Here is a 7,216-nt window from a genome sequence, read left to right as displayed (position 1 = left end):
GCCAGGCTGGTCTCGAACTCCTGGCCTCAAGTGATCCACCTGCCTCAGTGTCCCAAAGGGCTGGGATTACAGGTGTAAGCCACTGCATCCAGCCGAATATCTTGCTTTCATTGAGAAAGGCATATTAATGGGGGAAAGTTATTGGCTGTAGTTTATGTCATTTATACAGGGTTAGGACAGAGGTCATCTTATCCTTATTGGCACACACAGTGGGAAAGGGTGCACATCCAGGTGCATGTGGGCCTATGTCACCAGATTTCCACCACACCCACCTCCCCATTGTCCCGTAACACTTGGCCACTGTCTCATCTTTCCCAGTTCTCCCATCCTGGTTGGCTCAGTAGATTAGTTGATTCTCTTTTCAGGTGCCGTCTTTGAATTTTCCACACTCTTGGCGCATGCGCCTCAGCTCCTTGGATATCACCCTGACATTGAGCCCCTGGTGCTGTGCTTGGGACTGAGGGTAAATGACACAGTCAGTGTCCCCAACCCCACCGCATGGCAAAACAAATGCTGACACTTCTAATTGCCTTTTGTCAGCCGGGGAAGTGTTGAATATTACCAGGATTTCAGGCAAAATGACTGGGTAAGAGATGACTTGATACCTGACTTAAAAGAGGACACCCTGATGGGCAGAGCCCCAACTCTGACTTTGCTCTGGCTTGAGACAGTCCTCAGACAGTTCTCTTGGGTGAGGCTGCCAGATAAAACACAGGATGCCTAGTTAAATTTTAATTTCAAATAAACACGGATTTCTTTTTTAGTATAAGCAGGCCCCATTTAGCACAAGTATGTCCTATATTTTTATTTGCTAAATCTAGCAACCCTACTCGCGAGCTAATATTGGGTCGGTCACCAAGTGTACCTGACACCTTGCCGTGGGCCAGGGCTGGGCAAGAGTCAGCTCCCACCTCCCCGTGCCCCGCTACCAGCCCCGACCAGACCTGACTGCACATGCGCACTGAGCAGTACACGCCTGTGTTGAGGCCCCACGGAAGGATACCGGGAGAATGGGCGCAGTTCTCTGGCTTCTGCATGGGGAGGGCCTCCACCTCTGTCAAGGTCCTTGTGGTGGGACTTTCCACAACTGGGTTTGCGGTACTGCCAGGCAGCTAAAGAGAGTGATCAGCAGACATAGGTTTGAAGATTACCCCAAAGGCATTGCGCAAGGTCCGGCCTGGTACACCAGAACACGGCAGCAGCTGGCGCAGCCGGGCACCGAGGAGGGACCTCCCACTCCTGCCCCTTCCCGCGTGCTCTGAGTGACCCTGGGATAGAGAGAGAGGGAGAGGAGAGCCCTTGCTTCTTCCCACCCCCAGCCCACTGGCCACTCAGGAGGAACCCTGAGATGGGGTCAGAACAGGGCTAAGTGGACTCTCTTTGTTCTGCAAGTTTCCTGTGACGCAGCCCCAGCCACACCCTTCTCCCAGGGAAAGTGTCTCGTCCCGCCTGCCTTCCTAACAGGGACCCTTCTTCTGCCACTGGCCTTCCCTGTCTACCTACATGGCTGATGATTTTCATTCCTTATGAAAATAAAGCTGGCTTTAACTTATTTGTAATGTGCACACTTGATGCACAGATTCTAATAATGCCATCCTCCAATAAAAGAAACCAGGGCTCCTTGGAAATGGCCACTAAAGAAAAAAACAAAAACAAAAACAAACAAACAAACAAAAAAAGCCTTTAGACACTTAAAGTTAGTATTATTCAGAGTCTTACAGAGGAATCCAACCCCAGAGGGGTCCTTCAGAGCGTTTCTGTTAGACTGCTCCAAAGCAGTATTTCAGCCCACAGCTTATATACGGGTGATGGAGGTTCTCTGCTTGTGTTCAGAAGTCACATTACAGCAAAATCTCATCAAAGTTTGGGTGGGTAGATTACAGAGGCACAATCATTAATCTTGTCAGATGTTATCAGGCTCATTCCCAGGAAGTTACCTCTCTTGGCAGGGGAAAAGAATCTTCTTATTGCAGGCAGGCCAGATTGCTAGCAGCATGGGGTAGGTCACAACACAAGGCTGCATGCCATTCTCCTGAATAATGATTCATCTCTTGTCAGTGGGCGACCAGTACTGTGGCTTTAGCCATTGAAGAATAGTTGTCCAATTTTGAAGAATTTAGGTAGAGAGAAAGGTAAATGTTTTAATTTTGTTCACAAAAGTAAACTTTATCCAATTGTTGTAAGATAAAAATAGCTCAAAAGAAAAGAAGCATTCTTCACTTTGGAAAACAAAATATAAATAGAATCAGCAATGTTTCAAACAGAAGTCATAAAAATCACTGTAACCTTCCATCAGTTCAGCCCCATGAAAATCGTTTTAGTTCTCCATCAGTTCAGTCCCATGTAATTCTTGTTCTGATTGTTGTTTGGCAATCTTCGTAAATGCTCTCATTAGAGTTCTGGAATTTTTTGTTTAGTCCATTGATCTTAAAGTTACTAGACATCTGTGTTCAAGAGTACTTGTTAAGGCCAGTCACAGTGGCTCACATCTGTAATCCCAGAACTTTAAGAGGCCAAAGTGGGCAGATCACTTGAGGTCAGGAGTTCGAGACCAGCCTGGTGAAATCCTGTCTGTACTAAAAATACAAAAAAATTAGGCAGGCATGGTGGTGCACGCCTGTAATCCTAGCTACTTGGGAGGCCGACACATAAGACTTGTTTGAACCGGGGAGGTGGAGGTTGCAGTGAGCTGAGATCTCACCACTGCACTCCAGCCTGGGTGACAAAGCCAGACTCTGTCTCAAAAAAAAAAAAAAAAAAAAAAAAAAGAGTACTTAGAGAATAATTCAAAACAATAACTGTGGATGACAAAAACTTATAATAGCCATGGTTAAAATCTGATGAAAGTTCTCAATTGAAGAAAATGTAGTTCTTTCTATTACATATAGTATTTTAAGATAACAACCAGAATGATGACAGACAGTGGCCCATCAGGACCATCAGACTTTTATAAATTTTATTTACTCTTTAGAATGCTCACATTAATAACATCCATACTTTGGAAATGTAACTTTGGAAAACATTTAACATTACAATCAAAATTATTTGACAGATAACATATTAGAATATTTTTGAATTTATATAATTATAGAACATTTATATCAATAACATACCCATAAATATAACTGGAAGACCTAGTATCATTTATGATTTGATAATGCTTTCCTTATAATTTACCAAATAAGTCTAATCATTTAACATCTGTGCAAGATGACAGATGCTTTTTTTTTTTTTTTTAGGTTTTTCAGCAACCCCAACTGGAAAATCTCAAAGTTATGTGAAGCCAAAAAAAAAAAAAACCAATTAATTTAGGGTTTTGATCCTGGGGAAACCTGCCAAAGATGTCAAAAGGTTAAAAACATTTAATTGAAACAGAATTGCCGGTCATTGTTAAGTAATAATCATTTAGAAGTTACATTCGGGCAAAATCTCATCAAAGTTTGGGTGTAAGAGTACATCTGGTTATAGATTACAGAAGCATAATTCTTCATCCTGTCATTGTCTTATGTACAGGAAAAGGCAAGGGCTAGAATCATTGAACTTATCTTTTCTAAAAATGTGGTAATCAGGCAAGAGATGTGGGAACCTATTCTCTATCCTGCTTATCATGGTCAAAGCATTCTTCTAGAGGGCTGTGCTCAGTCACTGAGTCAGAGGTTTCTGAACGAGCAGAAGGAGCAAACGTGGCTTTTTTTTTTTTTTTTTTTGACGGTCTTACTCTGTGGCACAGGCTGAAGTGCAGTGGTGTGATCATGGCTCACTGCAGCCTTGAACTCTGAGATCAAGTGATCCTTTCACCTCAGCCTCCTGGGTAGCTGGGACTACAGGCGCATGCCACCAAGCCTGGCTAATTTTGTTTTTTATATATAAGTTTTTGTGCAGAGCAGTGGTTTCACCATGTAACCCAGGCTGGTTTGGAACTCCTGGACTCAAGTGATCCTCCCTCTTTACAGCAAGGGCCAACTATGTGACTAGTCAGAGGCAGATGTTCGCTATTTTTTCTCATAAAGGAAAGATTGATTTTAGGACAGGCAGGAAATGTACAAGATGAGATGAGCCTGGAGCATCATGTAGTGCCAGAAAGTAAGGAAGTGTTTTATACACACACACACACACACACACACACACACACCAACTCACATTGATGGGAAGAGGTCAAAGGAGCACAGGAGCCAATTGAAAGAGCTCCTAAAGGCCAAAGCTGGAACAATTTGAGCAACAAAATAAAGTAATATGGGACTATAACCCAAAGTGTGAGATAAATATTTATGAGTTATACTAATAAAAATAAATGATTGAATTTTAAAATGGAGAAGTGACAGATCTCCCAGTAGAAAAGTCTAAATAACTTATGTAGATAGTTCATCCTCAAGAAGGTAGAGGATAACTCTCGCCTCCTCCATGTGGGCTCTGCATAGTGACTTCCTTCAAAGCATACATGTGTGTGAAAGAGGAAAACAAGAATAACTACAGTGGAGAAACTTCACAAACACTACTTCAGCCAGGTGATCAAGGTTAACATCAAGTGATAAGTAATGCTAATAGTATGCACTCTTGATATGATGTGACGAGAATGGCCCTTTACCTCTGTAGTCTTTCTCCGAATAACCCGTAACCACAGTCTAATCATGAGAAAAACATCAGACAAATCCCAATGGAGGGGTAATCCACAATCTACCTGAAAAGTACTCCTCAAAACTGTTGGCTGGGAGCGGTGGCTCATGCCTGTAATCTCAGCATTTTGGGAGGCCGAGGCAGGTGGATCACTTGAGCCCAGGAGTTCGAGACCAGCCTGGCCAACATGGTGAAACCCCGTCTCTACAAAAAATACAAAAATTAGCCAGGTGTGGTGGCATGCACCTGTAATCCCAGCTACTTGGGAGGCTGAGGTATGAGAATCGCTTAAACCCAGAGGCAGAGGTTGCAGTAAGCTGAAATCACTCCATTGCTCTCTAGCCTGGGTGACAGAGTGAGACACTGTCTCAAAAAAAAAAAAAAAAGAAAAAAGAGAATAAAAATTTAAAAAAAAATTTAACTGTCAGCATCATCAAAAACAAGAAAAAGACAAGGAAAGCCTAAAGAAACATGACAACTAAATGTAATCTGATATTCTGGATGGAATCTTAGTACAGAAAAGGGACATTAGGTAACAACTAAAGGAAATCTGAGGCTGGGGGCAGTGGCTCACGCCTGTGATCTCAGCATTTGGAAGGCTAAGGTGGGTGAATCTCTTGAGCCCAGGAGTTCAAGACCAGCCTGGACAACATGGTGAAACCCTGTCTATACAAAAAATACAAAAATTAGCAGGATGTGGTGATGCATGCCCGTAGTCCCAGCTACACGGTAGGCTAAGGTGGGAGGATCGTTTGAGCCCAGGAAGTTGAGGCTGCAGTTACCTGTGATCACACAACTGCATTTGAGCGACAGCAAGACCCTGTCTCAAAAACAACGATAAAACTGAATGAAGCATGTACCTTAGTTAATAATGCATCAATATTTGTTCATTAATTGTGACAAATGTATCATGTTAATATAAGTTGTTGATAATAGGGAAAGCTGGGAGTGGAGTATATAGGAATTTTGCACCATCTTTTCAAGTTTTCTGTAAATACAAAACTATTCTAAAATGAAAGGGTTATTTTTTAAAAAAGACAAAGGTAGGGGGAAGCTGGCTTTATTGAGTTTTCTGATTATGAAAATAAATATGCAAATTCAAGCAATACAGAAAATACAAAAGCAAAAGTAGCAATTACTTGAAATCTTAGCCTGCCTTTAACATTTTGGTAACTCCTCCCAGTCTGTGTCTAATGTCCACAGAGTTGAATGTGAAAATTTTTATGTAAATCAGATCCTACATGAATTGCTATCCTATCACCTGGTTTTTTCTCCACACAACAAAACATTTGTGTGTATTTAAAGGTTATCTTTAAATGCTAGTATAGAGCTACCTCATTATTTTAATAGTTTATAGTATTCTATAATATTATAATCCACCTGAGAAAGCTTATTTGCCATTTAAGTGTGTTTATTTTCTCCTCTGAAAAACACTGCATTCACATGCATATACAAACATCCTTGAACCTGTCCTTTGGTATTCATGGGGGCTTGGATCCAGGACCTCTCATGGATACCAATATTCCTGGATCTTCAAGTCCCTGATATAGAGTAGCAAAGTATTTGCATATAACCTATGCACATCCTCCAGTGTACTTTAATTCATCTCTAAATTACTTATAATGGCTAGTACAATGTAAATTCTATGTAAATTGTTGTTATACTGTATTGTTTAGGAAATTACAAGAAAAGAAGTCTGAATATGTTCAGAACAGACACAGTTTTTGTTTGTTTGTTTGTTTGTTTGTTTGTTTTTGAGGCAGTCTCGCTCTTTTGCCCAGGCTGGAATGCAGTGGCACAATTTTGGCTCACTGCAACTTCCACCTCCCCAGTTCAAGTGATTCTCTTGCCTCAGCCTCCCGAGTAGCTGGGACTATAGGCGTGTGCCACCACGCCCGGCTAATTTTTTGTGTGTTTGTTTTTTTTTAGTAGAGATGGGGTTTAACCATGTTAGCCAGATGATCTCAATTTCTTGACCTTGTGATCCACCCACCTCGGCCTCCAAAAGTGCTGAGATTACAGGCATGAGCCACTGTGCCTGGCCACAGTTTTTTTTTTTTTTAAGTGAATGTTTTTGATCTGAGATTGGCTGAATCTACAGATGCAGAACCCATGGATCTGGACAGCCGACTGTACTTACATAAACTCCTGGATCTGGAGAGCCAACTGAACTTACATAAATTCCTGGATCAGGGAATGAACATTTACTATCTTGGTAGAGATTGCCAGGTAGCCTACAGAAGCATTGCTTCATTTTTCACTCCCATCACCAGTGCATGACAGTACCTGTTTCCCCACACCTTGCCAATATTGCATGTTGTCATTCTTCTTAATATTTGTCAATCTGATAGTCGAAGATAGCTGCTGATTTCCATCTAGTGTTGTTGGCCTATCTTTCAAGCCTGTGTTCCCACATTTCTGTTGTGAAATTACCATACTTACTCCATGTTCTAGCCTTTAACTGGCCCGTCGGTCCAATGGTTGAGTCAAGCCACTAGAAAAAGATCTTGGAAGTCAGGGCCATTATAATTCAAGATTTCCTTTCCCTTTCCAGGGCCTCAAGTATTCTGGGAAGGTACAGGGCAGCCAAAAAAAATTATTG

General features: G+C 41.8%; 1 long non-coding RNA gene across 1 annotated transcript; it reads left to right on the top strand.

Moving 5' to 3' along the window:
* The first annotated feature begins 360 nt into the window (after positions 1–360).
* On the top strand, positions 361–3,284 carry LOC124906031 (uncharacterized). Its single transcript, XR_007087120.1, has 2 exons — positions 361–586; positions 3,240–3,284. It is a non-coding gene; the product is annotated as an uncharacterized LOC124906031 (long non-coding RNA).
* The last annotated feature ends 3,932 nt before the right edge of the window (positions 3,285–7,216 follow it).

Source organism: Homo sapiens, chromosome 2 (assembly GCF_000001405.40).
Source record: "Homo sapiens chromosome 2, GRCh38.p14 Primary Assembly".
In the NCBI taxonomy this organism is placed as follows: Eukaryota; Metazoa; Chordata; class Mammalia; order Primates; family Hominidae; genus Homo; species Homo sapiens.
This window is presented reverse-complemented; position numbering and strand designations above follow the sequence as displayed.